Source organism: Homo sapiens, chromosome 2, assembly GCF_000001405.40.
Source record: "Homo sapiens chromosome 2, GRCh38.p14 Primary Assembly".
In the NCBI taxonomy this organism is placed as follows: Eukaryota; Metazoa; Chordata; class Mammalia; order Primates; family Hominidae; genus Homo; species Homo sapiens.
The window spans coordinates 38,047,932-38,066,829 of record NC_000002.12 but is presented as its reverse complement, the minus strand read 5'-3'; the positions used below and the strand labels follow the sequence as shown (position 1 = coordinate 38,066,829).

The 18,898-nt window shown below is 40.5% G+C and overlaps 1 protein-coding gene across 7 annotated transcripts in view; it reads right to left on the bottom strand.

Annotated features, from left to right (window-relative positions):
• RMDN2 (regulator of microtubule dynamics 2) overlaps positions 1-18,898 on the bottom strand; it is a 146,238-nt gene that overhangs the window by 309 nt on the left and 127,031 nt on the right. For 2 of the 7 annotated variants that reach the window (XM_011532616.3, XM_011532614.4), the window contains one exon: positions 11,836-12,090. The exons of the other annotated variants lie outside the window; for them this stretch is intronic. In XM_011532616.3, the coding sequence (XP_011530918.1) occupies positions 11,953-12,090 (138 nt within the window). In that variant the 3' untranslated portion in view covers positions 11,836-11,952. Of the gene's footprint in view, positions 1-11,835; positions 12,091-18,898 lie in introns of those variants that run through there. 7 annotated transcript variants of the gene reach the window in all.

Here is an 18,898-nt window from a genome sequence, read left to right as displayed (position 1 = left end):
TTGGAAATGTCAGGACAGTTAAGAATAAGTGAAGGAAATATTTTCATGGGAAAAATATTCCTTTAAATAATTATAATTGGGGCCAGTTTTTGCACAACTGTCTAGCAGAGTTGGATTCTACCCAATCAATCCAACAGAGTATAAGACCGGAGTACAGGGTGGGAAATGAATGCAGCTTTGGACATAAGTAAGACAGGCGTGGTTGTTAGAAACTCACAGAGGTTGTTTCTTCAACCTCAACGCCAGTCTGTTTTTCTGCACCAGTGCAACAGAAGTTCACTGGCTGTTAACTCTCCGTTTTTTGGCTCAGTGACTCTCACATGCTCTCTGCTCTCCAGTTTCAGTCTATTAGTTATAAATCTCAGAAAGTGAAAAGGAAAGAAGAAAAAAATTAAATATATTCAAATACATTTAAAAGCAATTTTTTTAACTTGGAATTATGGAGGAAAATAATCTAGTTTACATAGGTATGGACACGCTATGGGTAACAGCTCATGCTTGTAGCACCTCTGCTAAGCGACATACAGGCTTTGAGGACAAATGCTGTGCTCTTCATGCACACTTTTCAACATGTGTCAGATATGGAGGGAAGAAATGGAACTAAAATATGTTGAGCACTTACAATTTTTGCATCACTATGCTAAACTCTAATGCATTATTGCCTAACAGTCTTCAGAGGGATGCGATAAAGTAATGGGCCAAAATTATATATTTAGAAGTATTCTCATCCAGATTTTCCCTGGAGATGAACTAATTCAAAGCCCATTATCTTTGTACCCTAGTTTGTCCCTTCCCAGTGTGCCTGTGTTTGGATTTATAGGGTAGTCCGTCTATTTTTTTAGGCCATAAGATCCTGGGAGTTTCGCAAGCAATTTACTTCCTTTGTCTAAGGCACATTCCACACTACAGACAGGCAGTAACTGACATTGTGCGGGAATCCTCACCACACTGCTCTCTTCTGAGAAAAGCCCCTTTAAACTGTTCTTTAGGCAAAACCAAAAGCCAAACAAACAAGCAGTCATGCTTTGTCTTATAATCCTAAAACTTCTGTCCTAGAACCTGTCTGGACCAAGGTTCCTTGTTGGAGCCAGGGCCATCCTTAGGCTGGTCCAGTTTCCTGGGACATGGCCTGTCCATCTGATAGCCATGCATCACCTAAGTGTTGGTGTATGTGGCTCATCAGAACCCTTCCGTCTCTCAGAGCCCGTGAGCACTGGCCAGAGGGAGAGAGAAGAACCAAGGCACGAAACAAGCTTTTTGATGGGAAGCTTGCCTTTGCAAACAGAATGACTGGACCTACCAGAACTAGTTTTGAATCATTTGAGGCCCCTTTAGGTGAGACAATGTTATACAGTAGAAGCCTAACAGCACTGAGATCCCTTTGGGTCAGAGCTAAGAGTCATTGAGCAAGCCCGAAAAATCAGCCAGCCTCTTTCTTTTTCTTTTTTTTTTTAAAATTTATTCCTATTTCCTTACATTTGTTTCTCTCTCTCTCAATGGATAAGTATTACAATATGCTTAATATGCACTTTTTGTTTGCGTGTTCCAGCAAAATTTGTATTATTGTTTTGAATATATATGTTTTACTTTATGTAAGTGCTGTACATATCTCATCCTGTTGCTTAATCTTTTCTCAGCTCCATCCCTGTGTAATTCCATAGCTTATAGCTGCTGCCTAGTATTCCATGGTACTTATCCACCACATTTTTTCTATCCACTCTCTTGGGAATAGATACCTGGATAACTTCCAACTTTGTGAGCCCCTAAATGATGCAGCGAGGAACAGCTTGGTATGTGTTTACTTGCCCTCCTATGTAAACTTTGTAATGCATGCCATACGCATGATTAGAAGTGTTGGGTCAGCAAGTGAGTGCGTTATGTAATTTAAATATTGCATGTTCTCCAGAATGCCAAATCTGTCCACACTCCCATCAGCTGTGCATGAGGGGAAGCTGTACCCACTTCCCCACCAACACATGGCATGACCTCTTTATTTTTAAATGAAATATATCCTCTTGGGAGAGAGATGCATTACATAGATTTTTTTTTTTTAACGAGGAAAAAGACATCTACCCTCATTTTTCAATACTTCCCATAGTCATATTTGTGTTTACATCATATCTCCACTATTCGATGGTATATTCATTGAAAAGCAGGGACTAAGTCCCAACAATTTTGTTATGGAATCATATTGTATATACAGAAGCAAGGGTGAAAAAAGGGGAGTGAGTTTTGTCGCACCTGCTTCTCAGCACTGATGATCTCTTCACCTTCTCCATGACTCAGTTTTCAATTGGTACTCTTGAAGTCTAACCTGTTTCTTTCTTTCTTTTTTTTTTTGAGATGGAGTCTCGCTCTGTCACCCAGGCTGGAGTGCCATGGTATGATCTCAGCTCACTGCAACCTCCGCCTCCCAGGTTCAAGTGATTCTCCTGTCTCAGCCCCCCGAGTAGCTGGGACTACAGGCATACACCACCATGTCTGGCTAATTTTTGTATTTTTAGTAGACACGAGGTTTCACCATGTTGGTTAGGCTAGTCTCAAACTCCTGATCTACCCGCCTCGGACTCCCAAAGTACTGGGATTACAGGTGTGAACCAATGCACCCGGCCCCTAATCTCAGTTTCTTCTCTTTGCTTACAAATTGAGCTTATTCAAGGTTTTTAGGTTTCTGCTTAGTCACTATGAAGAAAGCAGAAATGCCAACTCAATGGCTTCCAATTTTTTAAACCATAGCCTCACAGTATGCAATATATTTTACATGATTTAGTACATATCTCTACATGTGATTGTGTGTACTTCATAGATATATATTTATGTATGTATATATACACACACACACATACACACACACAAACAGGATTCACTATTGTTTTCTGTGATGGAATATATTTTTAAATTTTTTTCATAAGAAATGCAGCACAGTGAAATACTACTACAAACCTATCATAGTGGCTAAATTTTTAAAAAAATGACAAAACTGATAACATATACCAAGTATTGGGGAGGATGTGAAACTACTGGAACTTTCATACATTGCTTGGGAAAGTGCAAAACGCTACAGTATGAGAAGTGTCTGTTCATATCCTTCGCCCACTTTTTGATGGGGTTGTTTGTTTTTTTCTTGTAAATTTGTTTGAGTTCATTGTAGATTCTGGATATTAGCCCTTTGTCAGATGAGTAGGTTGCAAAAATTTTCTCCCATTCTGTAGGTTGCCTGTTCACTCTGATGGTAGTTTCTTTTGCTGTGCAGAAGCTCTTTAGTTTAATTAGATCCCATTTGTCAATTTTGGCTTTTGTTGCCATTACTTTTGGTGTTTTAGACATGAAGTCCTTGCCCATGCCTATGTCCTGAATGGTATTGCCTAAGTTTTCTTCTAGGGTTTTTATGGTTTTAGGTCTAACATTTAAGTCTTCAATCCATCTTGAATTAAAAACACATGAAAAAATGCTCATCATCACTGGCCATCAGAGAAATGCAAATCAAAACCACAATGAGATACCATCTCACACCAGTTAGAATGGCGATCATTAAAAAGTCAGGAAACAACAGGTGCTGGAGAGGATGTGGAGAAATAGGAACACTTTTACACTGTTGGTGGGACTGTAAACTAGTTCAACCGTTGTAGAAGTCAGTGTGGCGATTCCTGAGGGATCTAGAACTAGAAATACCATTTGACCCAGCAATCCCATTACTGGGTATATACCCAAAGGATTATAAATCATGCTGCTATAAAGACACATGCACATGTATGTTTATAGTGGCACTATTCACAATAGCAAAGACTTGGAACCAACCCAAATGTCCAACAACGATAGACTGGATTAAGAAAATATGGCACATATACACCATGGAATACTATGCAACCATAAAAAATGATGAGTTCATGTCCTTTGTAGGGACATGGATGAAACTGTAAACCATCATTCTCAGCAAACTATGGCAGGGACAAAAAACCAAACACCGCATGTTCTCACTCATAGGTGGGAATTGAACAATGAGAACACATGCACACAGGAAGGGGAACATCACACACTGGGGACTGTTGTGGGGGGGGGGAAGGGGGGAGGGATAGCATTTGGAGATATACCTAATGCTAAATGACAAGTTAATGGGTGCAGCACACCAACATGGTACATGTATACATATGTAACAAACCTGCACATTGTGCACATGTACCCTAAAACTTAAAGTATAATAATAATAAAATTAAAAAAAAATGCTACAGTATGACCCCACTCCTGGGTATTTATCCTAGAGAAATGAAAACACATTCACACAAAAGCTATACATGAATGTTTACAGCAGCTGCATTCATCATGACTTCATACTGAAAACAACCTAAATTTCCTTCAAAGGGCAATTAGTTATACAAAATCTGTTACATCCACCCAATGGAATACTACTCGGTAATAAAAAAGAATGAACCATTGATACACACAACAACTTGAATGAATCTCAAGGGAATTATGTTGAGTAAAATAAGTCAGCTTCAAAAGGTTACACACTGCACAATTCCATTGCTACGACAGCCTCTGAGAGACAAAAGTGTCATGATGAAGAGTAGATCAGTGGTTGTCGAGGGTTAAAGGGGAGGGAGAGTACTACAAAAGGATAGCCTGGTGGAGTTTTGGAAGGTTTTCTGATTGTGACAGTGGTTACATGGATGTATACATGTGTTAAAATTCACACAACTACACCAAAAAGTGATGAAAAGTGATTGGAAAAAATGTTAAAGGGGAATTGGTGCAAATGAACTTAAGTGAAGCTGAACTGACATTGGCAGGTAGCATGGCAGCTGCTGGCAGACAAGGAAACGAGATGGCAACACTGAACAAAGAAGGTCAGGCCTAGAGATGTGAACAAGGATCATGGCCTGTGCTGAAGTCCTTGCAGGAGAGGTAAAGTGGTGCCAGATTCTCAGAGCAGAACAGGAGGCAGAATACCAGCCTTTGGGATGAGCAACAGCTGGAACCTCCCAGCCGAGGCAATTTTAATTCAATGTCATAAGTGTTAATTGAGCACCTATTAGTAGGCAGACACTGTTTGGGGCACTGATGATATAATAATGAACAAGGCACCCAGGCCCTGACCTCATGGAGCTGATATTCTAGTGGGATGGGTGGCAGGAGAGAAAATAAGATTTCAGTTAATTATAAGTGGTATATGTGTGTATGTGTGTGTGTGTGTGTGTACTGTGTGTGAGGGGGCACTGTTTAGAATGAGTAGTCAGGGAAGCCTTCCTGAAGGAGGCAACACCAAGGGGTGGGCATTAAGGACAAGCTTCCTCTTACATCCTCTCCATGTGAAGAAAATACAGGCACTGAGTTACCAGATAGTATAATTACCTTAAAAAAAAAAGAGGGTTGCAATTCATTAAATTGATTTTTATGGTCACAAAATCAGGGCAGTCTGAAGTAAAATAATCTCAGCGCACTCCACAGCAGATGACATTGGCCCATAATCAGCACTGGCTTCTGGCTTGGCCGATGGCACTGGTGGGTCCAGACCGTTCCCTGCCATTGACTCTTGAGCTCATTCCAATCATCTTCCCCTTGGAGCACTGAAGCAAATCTGATAACTCAGTGCCTGCATTTCCTTCACATGGGGAGGATGTAAGAGGACACTTGTCCTTAATGCCCACTCCTTGGTGTTGCCTCCTTCAGGAAGGCTTCCCTGACTACTCACTTGTTCCTAAAGAATAACCAGAGAACAAACAGGCTCTTGGAACTAACATACTTTTCAACAATGCCTTTAAATATAATTTAAAATGGCCTGATGATTCTTTAATTTTATGTGCACCAAAGGACTCCACACTGATTCTTTTAAGCACTTAATGGAACTTCTCCTGGAACATTTTCTACACTATGTCTAGCCTTTGAGTCAAAGTTTTATTATATCTGATTGAAAAAGATTTCCACCCTCATCCCAGTGGGGTTGCTGAGAAAAGCAGGCAGCCTCGTGTTCTGTTTGGGGGGATCTCCCATCCCCTGGTGTTGTGCTGTGTACCCAGCATGCTTTCCTGGCTGTCTCTAACTTTATTGTTTAACCCCACAGCCCTTGGCCATTATCTAGGCCATTGGACCCCACAAGTCAGGTCATATCAGCTTTGAGAGCACCACTCAGCTCCCAGACCCACAATACTGAAAGCTGCTGGTGTCCACTGGATCTGGTGGATGTTTGTGAATCCCAGGATGCTCTGAGCTTGTCTTTCCTGCACCTCCCCTGTCACTCTCCCTGCTCACATTCAGAAGGCCAAAGGGCCACCTCTGTTCTCTTACTGCACATCCCAGCAATCAGTATTTAAATTTGAGACTCTTATTCTGCAATTCCCACAGCCCGCAAGCAAATCCAGTTGGCATTCTAGAGCTTGGCACTGATATTGAGGAAAAAAGTGGGGAAACACAGGCTGGACAAAGCGGTGGAAGAATAAGGTTAACTTTTCACTGTGTGTTTTCCAATGTGGTTTCCAGGAATGATTGCTGTAAAAATGGGCAAGCCTGCCTGCTCTCTTGTTTTGATTTCTAACTTCAAGAGATAGCTCTGGAAACGTCTATCAAGGCCTTGTTAATAAAAAACAAAATGGTCGGGTGTGGTGGCTCATGCCTGTAATCCCAGCACTTTGGGAGGCCAAGGCTGGCGGATCATGAGGTCAGGAGATCGAGACCATCCTGCGTAACACAGTGAAATCCTGTCTCTACTAAAAAAAATAAAATAAAATAAAATAAAATAAAATAAAATAAAATAAAATAAAATAAAATAAAATAGCTGGGCGTCGTGGCACACACCTGTAGTCCCAGCTACTCGGGAGGCTGAGGCAGGAAAATCATTTGAACCTGAGAGGCGGAGGTTGCAGTGAGCCGAGATCGAGTCACTGCACTCCAGCCTGGGTGACAGAGCGAGACTCCGTCTCAAAAACAAAAAAACAAAAACAAAAACAAAAAAAACCAACGACAACAAAAAACCACACACACACAAAACCCTGTCCTTCTTCTTCAGTGCCCCGCCAGGGCTTATTTTCTTTGCAACAGAGTGTAGGGGAGTTTAGGTCATCATACAGACCTGCCCTTGGCTCTGCAGAGGTCAGCACCTTTCTCATTTTCTTTGCCCACGTCCCTACATCAGTCTAGCTTGAGTTCATCTCTCATCTCTCTAATGAAGCCTCCTCTGACCACATTATTTAATACTTAGCCTGCCCCCACAAGCTCCCTCGACATGCCTACCTTGCTCTACTTTTTCTGTTCCCTACGCTCCCAACACATAAAACATTTATTTCCTGTTAATATAACATAAAATAACCTTTACATTTTGATGATGATTTACTGTCTGTCTCCGTCCCCACTCCAGTTCCCAGGATATAAACTCTACAGGGGTGGACATTTTTATGTTCCTTGGAAAGTGGAATATCCAATCATCTTGCTGGATTTTCTACACAATATCCAACCACTGGTTTGCATTATATTTTAAATTCTGATGGTATGATCACTGCCCAAATAATCTACTCACAAAAAGAAATTAGTTAAGCCAGCTGTTTATTGTCCTACTGACCTGTGCTGTACAATGTAGTAGCCACTAGTCACATGTGGCTATTTAAATTTAAATTAATTAAAATTAAAAAAATTAAAAAATCAATTCCTTATTCACATCAGCCTTATTTCAGGTGCTTGGAAGCCACATGGGGATAGTGGCTACTGTTGTGAGAGGCACAGATATAAAACGCTTCCATCATAGCGGAAAGTTCTATTGGACAGTGCTTCTATAATTGAACCCATTTCAATTTATTGGACGTTTTACTTTTATTCAATTGGTAACTATTTATTACTACTTTGGGTAAAACACTATGATAAGAATCATGAGAAATACTCAGGGAGGATTCAGGGGCCCCTCCTCCGAGTAAGTGAGTGTGAACATAAATATAATATAAAGATACATACACAAGAGTTTTCAGGTAGTTTCAGATAATGTGCTTCAAGGAAAGGAGAGATTTGCGTTTTCCAATGACCTGGCTTTTTCCCATAGGCAGAGGAGCCAACATCTCCAGTGGAAAATAAACTCAGGTCGCAATAGGAAATAAAAGAAAGCTTCTTAGAGTAGGTAGGTCTGAAACAGAAAACTGCCCATAACCTCAGTTCTGAAACACAGAAAACGAACACCTTGATAAAAGTAAGGAAGACGATCCACATAAGGTTATATTTTGGTGGAAAAGTTAACTCCAAACAAGGAAATTCAAAGCTATGGTTCCTTATGTTCTATGGGTTCTGCTCTTGCTTCTCCTTCACCTTTGCCTTGGGACAAGCAGCCCCCACACCTGCAGACACAATTTCTGGTCCTGAAGTCCCCTGCCTGAGCAGAGCTGAGAAAAGCTGATGAGGGCTAACAGAATCTGGGGCGTTGCTTCTCCAAGCCTTCCCTTCCAAGGCTGGGAATTAAAGTTCAAAGAGGGTCTTCCCCTCATGCTGCTTCTTCCTGCAGGGCAAAGCTTGAAGGCTTGACCTAAAGAGCTATGTCAATGGATGATGAGAGATTGAATGCTATTTTTCAGATACCTGAGATTTTTCCACCCTGGGCTCCTTCACCCCCTTCCCTAGCCCACAGGGCTGACTCACACTGACCTGGGTTTTTCCCAAAGGCAGAGAAGTCAACATCTCCAGTAGAAAATAAACTCAGGTCAAAAGAACAAGGCATGTGAGGAGCACAATTATTTCCAAAGAAAAAAGGTTAAATTTCCAAGAGTTAAGGTGGCTTTCTAATGCTGCTATTATGAGTCGGACATTTTCCTGGGTAGTTACTCTGCTACTGTTCAGATAGCCTCAATGGGCTCTGTATTAGTCTATTCTCACAGTCCTATGAAGAAATACCTGAGACTGGGTAATTTATAAAGCAAAGAGGTTTAATTGGTTCACGGTTCTGCAGGCTGTACAGAAAGTATAGCAGCAGCTTCTGCTTCTGGGGAGGCCTCAGGAAACTGACAATCGTGGCAGAAGGCAAAGGGGAAACAGGCACTTCTTACATGGCTGGATCAGAAGGAAGAGGGAGGGGGAAGGTGCTACATACTTTTAAACAACCAGATCTCATGAGAATCCACTCACTATACAGTACCAAGGGGGATGGTACTGAACCATTCATGAGAACTCTGCCCATTGATCCAATCACCTCCTACCATGCCCCACCACCAACACTGGGGATTACTATTGAATATGAGATTTGAGTGGGGACATAGATCTAAACCATATCAAATAAAGTGGTTTCTATATCAGGCTCCATTGGCTACCAGCATCTTGGTAAGATGAATCTCCTGTGGTTTACAGCAGAGGTCAGCAAACTATGGCCCATGGTCCAAATCTGGTCCACCACCCATTTTCCATAGCTTGTGAGCTATGCATTATTTTTACACTTTTAAATAGTAGAAAGAAATCAAAAGAGGAAAAGTATTTTATGACACATGAACATTTTATGAAATTCAAATTTCAGTATCCATAAATAAAGTTATGTTGGAGCACAGCCATGCTCATTTGACTGTAATGCCTATGGCAGCTTTTGTACTACAGCAGCAGAGTTGGGTAGTTGTAACAAAGACCACAAGGCACCTGCAAAGCCTGAAATATTTACTACCTGGCTCTTACAGGAAAAGTTTGCCAATCCTGGTCTGCACCATCTATTTCTCACAGCACCAACTAGTAATAGTAACAACCTCTTCATGTTTCTAAAGCACTTTATGGTTGACAAATCACTTCTATGTACATCATTTCCACCTCTGTTTTGAATGGCCCTGGACTGTGCTAGAGCCCTGGACAGTTGATGCTGCTTCACAGAGAGTCATGAACCCACAAAGCTAAGACCCCAAATAAGGCACTAGGAAGCAGAAACAGGTCAAAGGCATTTTTCACAAAGGCAATATTCCATATTGCAAGTGGAGGCATTTTAGCATAGACTAGAGAATGCAGCAGTTAAATGGAAGGAAAAAATCAGACCCACACAGTGTAATAACATAACTAAAACAAAACTGAAAAAAGCTTATAATTTCAGGACTTAAAACCCTTGCTTAATTAAGTTCTTCTTCCTAATTGGGTCTCCATCATTTTATATCATTTAGGGGTATGTCATAATTTCACAATTCTTACACATAGCCTAAGAATGCACCTAATCAAACAAAATTCATTCTCTTATCTAGTCACATGGGACACCCTGAAATAAGTTTGGGAGAATTATTATATGTTCTTACATGCTGAGCACAGTAAATCAAGTGTAATATAGTTTTATATACATTCAGATCATCCAGGCCATCATTTATTCAGCATCTATTATGTCTCTAAGCATTGTTAAGCACTAGTAGATACTATTCTAAGATAAAACTGTTATAAAAATAAACACATGCCCTGATGCAGAGGTGTTCATTTCCTGTTTGAGGAGACACACCGGCATGCCCCAACACAGTGTGATTGATGTTGTAGTAAGTGGTGTATGAAGTGCTTTGGGAACAACGATTAAGAACTACGTAATTCTCCTAGAGACTGTGTGGACATGAGGGTTAGGAAAGGCTCCATAGAGGAGATGCCCTATGAGCTGGGCCTAGATGCTTAGGGGTTGACTAGAGAGACACAATATCAGGGAGGGAGGATGAGAGGATCCTGGACAACGCCCTCCGTGATGAAAGGACCTGCTCCCCACTGGATCCCGGGTGCCTGGCACAGTGCTGCCCCGTCCTATGTGCTCAGTAATAAAATATCTGTTTGAATGAATGTGATGTGCTTGGAGGTGGCAATGATCCAGGTGAGGTGGGGAGCACACGTATGTGTTTGCATGCAGTGTGTGTGTGTATTTGTGTGTGTGTCAGGGTGAGGGAGTGTGGCAGGTACTGTTAATGTCTACCCAATATCCATCACCCTACTTGTTAACAGAACCTTGATTTTTTTCCAGTTATCCAGTCTTCAGGGAAGATGACTCTGTCTCAACTCACAGTAAATCCTGACTAGCCTAAATCAATCATAAAATTCCTATTCCCCTTGCAGTAATTGGTATAGACAGGGGCATGCAATCTATTCCAGCTGATGAGTTGCAAGGGGAAGGTCTATTGAAGGGCTGCTTGAAGGGTTTCTTTGTTCTTTAAAAGACACACACACAAGTAAGAGACAGTGCATCCTCCTCTGTCGAATGCTATTGTGTCTGGATGTGACTCCTGCAGTGATCTTGTAGTCATGAAGGGAGCTAACCTGAGGACCAAGCTGATACTTCAAAAATGACTGTATGAAAAGATGCAAAGATCTTGTCCTTGATGGGGTCATCAAGCCATTAAGTAAACCAACTTAGAGCTTCCTACGCTTCTGATTTTCCTCCAAAGTGAGACAACTAATTTCCTACTTTATAGGACACAGTTGAGTAAGGATTTTCTATTTCTGGTTCTAAGAGCCAAAGACATTTTAACAGATGGGTCAGCTATGTATATAGGGTGAGGGTGAGGTTGGGGAGGTAGGTTGAGGCAGGCTGCAAAGGCTACATGCTGGGTTGAGGAGTCTGTTTTTTTTTCCCATAGGATCCTGGGGTGGGTTGCACAGGAGGAATTAAAACAGGCAAGTGCTTTAGAACGGCAACTTTGACTGCAAGATGTGACAATGGCTTAGAGGGAAGGAGTGAAACTAGGCGGATCATCAAGCGGGGACGGCTATGAAATCATCTAGGCAAGAGGGAAAGTAGACCTGGTCCTGGCCTCACTGAGGAAATAGAGAAGGAGTGGGATTTGAAAGACATCTCAGAGATATAATAAGCAATGCTTGCAATACAAAACTGATAATATACTGTTCTAAAAATATGGTTTATGGTACATAAGACATTTCTGGTAACTTTCTGAATGTGTTTTATTAGTTTTACAAATATAACATGATATCCAAATAATTTCCTGGTGGGACACTTGGAGCCCTTTGTCCCCCCGTCCTTTTGAGAGAGCAGAGCCCTTACTATGGAGCATGTCCTGTGCTGTATTCTATATTAAGTGTGGGCTTGAAGAGGGATGGTCCAGTAGTGAGGTGTCCAGAGTCGTGCACTGGGTAGTTTGACTGCATGGAGCTGGCTGGCAAATCATGGCAGAAATGTTCCTTAAGAAAGATGGTAGAGAAGAGAGAAGAGAATTCATAAATGGGTAGGTGGTCATGCTGCAAGCCACAGAGTGACCCAAAAGAAACAGAGAATTGAACCCTGGAGCAACAAAGCACACGGGAGGGGACAATAAACATGGAGGAAAATGCATTCATTTATTAATCTTGTGATGTAAGACTCTAGTCTTTTCTTTAACCATGCATCTCCATTTTGGAATTTGGGGTATATTTTTTAAGTGAACTATATCCATAATGCATCACCTATGATGTGTAGTTTCTGTGTATTTAAAGTGGAGCAAAAATTTAAAAAATACTTGCAGATCAGTTTGAATGTAGAATTTTTAAGATTGTTCTAATATTTTCTCCAATGTTTTATAGTTGCCTAATCTAACAGTAAAATACTTTTAGCATGTCAACTTTACTGAGTCTTTCCAAAGCATTCATCTTTTTTGTGTTCATCAGTACAGCAGCTCTTTATTTTCACAGTATTACTTGATGAGTTTAATACTATTTAATAAATTAAATTATGTAATTTTGGGAATAATACGCATAAAACAAACCCAAATGATTCTAGATAAACAGAATTCAACTTGAGGAAGCAGAAGTGCACAGGCAAAGTCAAGATTAGCCCACTGGCCATTAGTGTTCAGAGTGTGGGGCATCTACTAGTATAGTTCATAGGAATGAGGTGAGTACAGTAATCTGATAAGTGGTCAACTGGAAATTAATCAATAAAACTCCTAGAATATCTGAATAATAAATTCAACCAATGAGTCGTTCTTGGTAGGTTTACTTCCTCTAACTCTCTGTCTATCAAAATAACTATTTAAAATGAGAGGTTTTCAGTGCTGGCTGCACATTAGAGTCACCTGGAACTTTGAAAAAAATAATGCTTGTGAGTTTGCTCCCCAGGCAAATTAAATCAGAATCTCTAGGGTAGGATCCTGGCATTGGTATTTTTTTCAGAGTGCCCCAGTAAATGCTAATATGCAGCCAGATTTGAGAACCACTGAATAAGATCAAATAGCTCACATAGTGAAAATTAATTCAACTTAGCATAGAAACGTTTATATGAACCATTTGGGATCTAAATTTTAAAATGCATTTTATTACAGTTAAATTGAGTTACTATTGGAATTAATAAAATTCATTCAGGTAAATTTTTTCCTTAGTAACATGCTCTTTGCAAACCGTTTTGTGGACTAGATGAGACTTTTAATTTAATATTTTAAGTGTCTGTGGATAAATAACTGGAACTTCTTGGAGCCCTTGAAAATAGCTTATACACTTTCTTCAGCAGCATTTCTAAAGCTCTCTCCTGCTGTGGCACATATGGTAGATAATGTGTGTGTGTTTGACATTCCCACGAAACCTCAAAAGCTTCTCAGGAAGTTTTAACCAATAATACTGAAAATACCCAACTGCTAATGATAACGTCATAATGATCACTTGTTGTATATTTGGTCTTAGGTAAGTGAGGCTGTGGGTCTTTGGCAATTATATTTAGACAGCACTATTTTTTCCTTCCAAAAAAAATCATAATTTGAGTAAGAAAATCATGTTATTGTAGGGATAATCTTTAGTCAACCACCCTCACTCTTACTTATTTTTAATGGGAATTATTTGCACCTGTGGGTACATTTTAAAAAAATATTACTTTTAATCTCACAATGAATTAAGATGCAGCTGAGATTAAAACCTGCTACCTTGAACTATAACAGAGCCTTGACATTTGGCAGCCTTGACATCTGTAAAGTTGGCAGTCATGGAATTAGTGACTGAGGATCCATTCCACACAGTGATTTTTGCTGAGGCATAAATTTGAATCCTGTGGACAGCAAGGTTAGTGTATGGGAGTGAATCCATTAGCTAGTGAGTGCAGCATTGCCCACCCCCTCATGTCAAAGTAGCATTAACATTTTCTACTTGACTTCAGAGTTCCTGTAATCCTTGGGAACAGAGAAAAGTAAGTTTGAGGATAATGGCCCCAGAAAAAAAACACCAATTGCTGGTGATGGCAGTAAAAAGACAAGTTGTCTGAGGATAAGCATCCTTAGCCAAGTTCATACATGACTATAGAGAATCATTAAGAATATGAAGGTCCTGGGACTATAAAACTACTTGCTCCAGGACATTGGTGTAGGCAAAGATTTTATGGCTAAGACTCCAAAAGCACCAGCAACACAGCAAAAATGGACAAATGGGACTATATTAAACCAAAAACCTTCTGTACAGCAAAGGAAACAATCAACAGAATGAAGAGACAACCTGTGGAATGAGGGAAAATATATGCAAACTATTCATTCAACAAGGGACTAATTTCTAGAATATACAAGGAACTCAACAAAACAGAAAGAAAACCACCAAATAATCCCACTAAAAAGTGGGCAAAGGATCTGAATATACATTTCTCGAAAGAAGACACACAAATGGCCAACAGGTATATGAAAACATTCTCAACATCACTAATCATCAGAGAAATGCAAATTATTATAAGACCACCATGAGATATCATCTTACCACAGTTACAATGTCTATTATCAAAAAGACCAAAAGTAACAGATGCTGGGGAGGATGTAGAGAGAAAGGAATTCTTATACACTGTTGGTGGGAATGTAAATTTGTACAGCCATTATGGAAAACAGTGTAGAGATTTCTCAAAAAACTAAAAATGGAACTAGCATACAATCCAGCAATCCCACCACTGGGTATTTATCCAAATGATAGGAACTCAGCATATCAAAGGGATACCTGCACCATGTTTATTGCAGCACTATTCACAATAGCCAAGACATGAAATCAACCTGCATGTCCATCAACAGACGAATGGATTTAAAAAGTGTGGTATATACCCAATGGAATACTGTTCAACCATAAAAAAAAAAATCATGTCATTTGCAGTAACATGGATGGAACTGGAGGTCATTATGTTGAGTGAAATCAGTCAGGCACAGAAAGACAAATATCTCATGTCTTCATTCATATGTGGGAACTAAAAACTTTAATCTCACAGAGGTAGAGAGAGAGAGTAGAATGAAATTGGGAAAGGTATGTGTAGGGGGAGAGGATGAAGAGAGGTTGGTTAATGGGTACAAACATACAGCTAGACAGAAGAAATAAGTTCTAGTATTTGAAAACAGAAGGGTGAGTATAGTTAATAACATATTGTATATTTCAAAATAGCTAGAAGATTTGAAATGTTCCAAACACAAAGAAATGACAAATGTTAAAGGTGATTGGATATCATAAATACCCCAATTTGATCATTACATATTTTATATGTGTCAGAATATCACATGTACCCCATAAATATGTACAAATACTACGAATAGATAAAAAACTAAAAAAAGAACAGTCACTCAAAATTTTTCCTTCCACCTGATTGCATTGTACAGAGGGAATTTAAAGTTCTATCACCATTCACCAGTGCCTCCAGACACATTCTAGTTGAATATGAGGGATGTACTACCTCTCTTAAACACTCCTTTTACAATTTTGTTTTTACGGTGAATTTGCATGACTCCGAAGAAAGGGTTGGCAGACTCAGTCTAATTGCATGAATTCCAGATTAATGAAGCCTGATTTATTGAGGTTTCATGCCCTCAAGTCTAGCTTAATCCTTGTCACTGGTGTTGGTGATGTCTTTCCTAAAGAGGCTCATTCCTCGGGGCACAGCCAGCCCCACTAGGCCATGTTACAGCTTGCTCTTCCTTCTTCACAACTCTGAGATGGGCGGATCACCTGAGGTTGGGAGTTTGAGACCAGCCTGGCCAATATGGTGAAACCTGGTCTCTACTAAAAACACAAAAAATTAGCCGGGCGTAGTAATGCACAGCTGTAATCCCAGCTACCACGTGGGATGCTGAGGTGAGAGAACTGCTTGAACTCCGGAGGCGGAGGCTGCAGTGAGCTGAGATCGTGCCACCGCACTCCAGCCTGTGCGACAGAGCGAGCCTCTGTCTCAGAAAAAACAACAACAACAACAAACTAAAACAAATGAACAAAAAACAACCACCATGTAATGAGATTGTTCTTTGTTCTTACATTAACATATGTGGAAGTTCGTGCAGAATTGTGTCTTCTCTCAACCAACTTTTATTTGCCCTGCCTCATCCTTTTCTGTCTTAGGAGCTCTATTGGAAACTGAACCATGGTAGGATATCTAGGTCAGCTTTTCTGACCAACTAAAACTATATTGCATCCCAGTCTGGCAGCAAGCACATAGTCCCTACGGGCTTTTTAAGGCTCTGCAAAAATGTCTGGGACCTGAAAAAATATGATGGGCTAGTGACATTGTTTGCTTTTTCAGGAACACAAAAGGAGAATCAGAGAAATTGGGGCTGTATGTGGGGATATATGGTCAGGGAAGGTTTTTTTTTTATTTTTTTTTTTAATAGGGGATACTTAGGCATGTGTGTACACTGGTGAGATTGGTGCAGCAGGGAGACAGAAAAGGATGAGGCAGGGTAAATAAAAGTTGGTTGTAGAAGTGAAGTCCCTGAGGAGGCATGAGAGGAGTGGAGGCACATCATGTGGGGCCATGGTGCGAGGTCTCACAGAGTTCATTTTATGTAGGCTTAAAACTTTTCTTTAAATCTTGGGTTCAAATCCTCTCTGCCAGTTTGTAGAAATGTGGGAATTTGTGCAAGTGAACCTCTTCAAGTGGCTGTTTCCTCATGTGTAAAATGGAGATAAATAAGGTCCCAAATTCATTGATTGTTGCAAATATTCAAGTTAATAACACATGCTATTAGCTTAAGCACAGTACTTACAATAAAGTAAGCATGCAGCAATAATTAGCCGTAACAATAATAATTACTGACAGTATTAGGCACAGGGCTGGGGAAGCAAGATGATAAAAAATGTACAAACCATCAATAATCTTGTCATCACCTGTAATCCTACCATTTTGGGAGGCTGATGTGGGAGGATCACTTGAGACCAGGAGTTCGAGACCAGTCTGGCAACATACCAAGACCCCATCTCTACAAAATAAAAAATTAGCTGGGCATGGTGGCATGTGCCTATAGTCCTAGCTACTTGAGAAGCTGAAACAGGAGGATTGCTTGAGCCCATGAGTTTGAGGCTGCAGTAAGCTATGATTATACCACTGCACTCCAGGCTGGATGACAGAGTGAGACCTTGGCTCTAAAATGCAATAAAAAATTTCAAAATGATGTATAAACCATGGAACCATGGTCTGTGACTGAGGATATGAAAATCTAGTGTTTGAGAGAAATGTGTAAAAAATGGTAATAAAACACAGAATTAAATAATCACTTCCACAGCCTTCACATTCCACTCTTAGCAGGGATTTGAAGGTCTGGGAGAAGTCTGGGGTGCCATCTCCGAGGACACAGGACAGGGCCTCTAGATGTCCATTTGACCTGGGATGGTCCAGTCCACTGTGAGAGCTTTGCTGATCATGCTGCTTCTCTGACTGATGGTCCTAACTTTCCCTCCCAACTTCCCTTCCTTCCTTCTACTCCCTTTTCTTTCTGCCCCATGGAGGAGGAAGGCTCCTAATGAGGTAGACTTTCCAGGTCTGACTTGCTCCATCCTAGGCGACCGTGTAATAAGAAACAATCCCTCAAACTATGAGGGAACTAGACTCATTTGATAGCCAGCTTCCTGGGAAACAAATGGGATTATATTTTCCATATTCTACAGACTAGAAAATAAACAGAATGATTTAAAATGTCAACAAGCAGGCTCCTAAACAGCATTGGCTAAGTTTAATTTATCTTATGGCCCTATCACCAAATACCATGTCTAACAGTAAGCAGGTACTCAATACCTGTTTGTGGAATGATCATAATGAGTTAGTCAATCAATTAAAGCCATATTTAAAATCTTTTGTGCAACTGCACATGGAACTCAGGTTTGCCAACTCATAGATTTGTAGTTCTCCCTGCCTCTAAGTTGCGACAGTGCTAATAATCTCCACCCCTTCTCTATCGTCCATGTGGGATGGTGCAGTCCAGATGTTTCCATGACTTGCTTCTTCTGCAGATCAGTCCCAAAGGTAGCAGATTTCACTGGGAAGGATCCCTGACTACCTGGTGGTTCTGTTGTTTGTCGGAGGTCATTTTCCAGATGTGTTGACTCCAACTCTGAGTCTTCAGGTTTCTGTTTACAGAGGTAGTCTAGATCCACACTTTCACAGATCAGTTCTGGGCCTGCTGTACAGGAGAAGGGCCGGGCCAGCTCACATGCCAGGTAATTTCTAGGACACAATAGCTCTCCTGTGCCCCTCTCTGGAGCATGAAGCCACAGGTAATCCTGAAAGCTTCCTGAAGTCCCTGGAGGCTGTTTTCCTTTCTCCAGAGGAGTCAGGGAATGGGGACAAGGATAAATTTGTAAAGTCCTGCCCAAGAAATAGCCACTTCAGTAAAGGCCGGTGTTCTTCTGGGGCCCATATCCCAGGCCTGTTATTGATTTATGTTTTAGCACATGCTGCATACACTCAAATGGAAATGGACCCAATCATTTCACTCTACCTTTAGGAAGAAGGAGTGTAAGAAAATGTAGCACATACAGAAGTCCCAGACAGGGAGGACTGCAGCAAAGCCAATTTTACTGCCTCCTATATATCTCAGCAACTGATTTCACACAAACATACTTGCCAAAGAAGGAGAAATGAAGTTTAGAATGATAGATCTGAAACTTTGATTTCAATGAAAGGAAGTTGTGTTACATCTCAGGTAATCAGCACATCTGGCTAACCTCAATCCTTCATTTCAGTGAGTTTTCTGATTAAAGTCAGAGTGATCAGAGTATTTTAGGTAAGAAATATCAGACAAAATTT